General features: G+C 52.3%; 1 annotated feature.

Annotated features, from left to right (window-relative positions):
- Positions 409-952: an enhancer, noted in NCBI's record as "H3K27ac-H3K4me1 hESC enhancer chr12:18102760-18103303 (GRCh37/hg19 assembly coordinates)". NCBI's record gives its function as "activates a minimal SCP1, AML or CMV promoter by ChIP-STARR-seq in naive H9 embryonic stem cells {active_cell/tissue: H9 hESC(naive)}" and the evidence as "EXISTENCE:reporter gene assay evidence [ECO:0000049][PMID:30033119]".

Raw genomic sequence — 1,195 nt, 5'->3', positions numbered from 1 at the left:
GGGATTCTCCTGTCCTCATTTTCCCCACATATGGAGTCTTAACTGAAAGGATCCTTCTTAGTGTTAGGTCTGATACAGCTCACAAGCAGCTGTAACACCATGGGGTTTTAGGATGTAGATGCTCAGAGTAGTTACGGAGCAGGGATTTTGGGCTCAGCATCGCACCTGAGTTTTGGGGTTCAGGTTTACTCTCTGAAGCAGGGTTGGATTCAGAATGCTCACAAAAGCAGGGTCTGTGACTCTGAACCACCTCCAAGCAGCTCAGGCCCAGGAGGCTGGATTGTCACTGTGATTCTGACCCTAGGAGACAGAGCACAAAATTGTCTTGGTACAAGGAAGGAAGAAGGAATGCTCTCTAGGTTTTGGCCCAGGGAGCAGATGCAATTCAGAAATGTTAGCTAATATGGCACAGTGGCAACTCAGGCCTCAGGGTATGTAGCCTTATGTAGTGGTGACTCTGGACCCTGGGATTATGGGACATGACGGTATCCCAGACTCTTTAAGGCCAGGTGCAGTGGCAGCAAGGAAAACAGAATAGTGGAACACAGCTATTGCTTGGACCCAGGGGAGCAGGGAGCAACACAATGATGCCAGTTCCAGAGAGGCAGAATACTAGTTATGTGGCCTGTAGGACATGGTGTCTGAGCTCAGACAACTCTCTGTTTCCCTTGGACATGAGGAGCCACTTTGGCTTAGCCCTGGGATGTATGTCTGCTTAGCCCAGCCAAGGTACTGATTTCCTAGCAGGTGATGTGCTGCTTCAGCTTAGGCCTAGTGGGCATGGCTGCTCTGGAGAGAGGGCAACACTTCAGCTCAAGCACAAGGGGGTGTGACTACTTTGAGTGGCAAAGACATCATTTCCTGAGGAGGCAGGGTGCCACTTCAGCCCAGGAACCAGGGGTTGTGACTGCTCTGGGAGGCCAAGGCAACATTTCCTGGAGAGACGGTGCACTGCTTCAGCTCAGGCCCCAGGGGCAAGACACAGCAGCAATTGGGAAATGCAGATGCAGTGGCTCTGTAACAGCTTGGTCCCATGGGGTGGGGTGTAGCAGCAGCTCAACTCAGAGATGGCAGGCTCCCAGGCAGGGGTGGTTCAGCAGCAACAAAACCTCAGAGATGAAAGGGCACCATGGTTAATTGCCCCCAGAACAGACCATACCAGCCATGAGGGATGGAGCACAGTGCTGGCTCTGTC

The sequence above is a fragment of the Homo sapiens genome, chromosome 12 (assembly GCF_000001405.40).
Source record: "Homo sapiens chromosome 12, GRCh38.p14 Primary Assembly".
NCBI lineage: Eukaryota > Metazoa > Chordata > Mammalia > Primates > Hominidae > Homo > Homo sapiens.
This window is presented reverse-complemented; position numbering and strand designations above follow the sequence as displayed.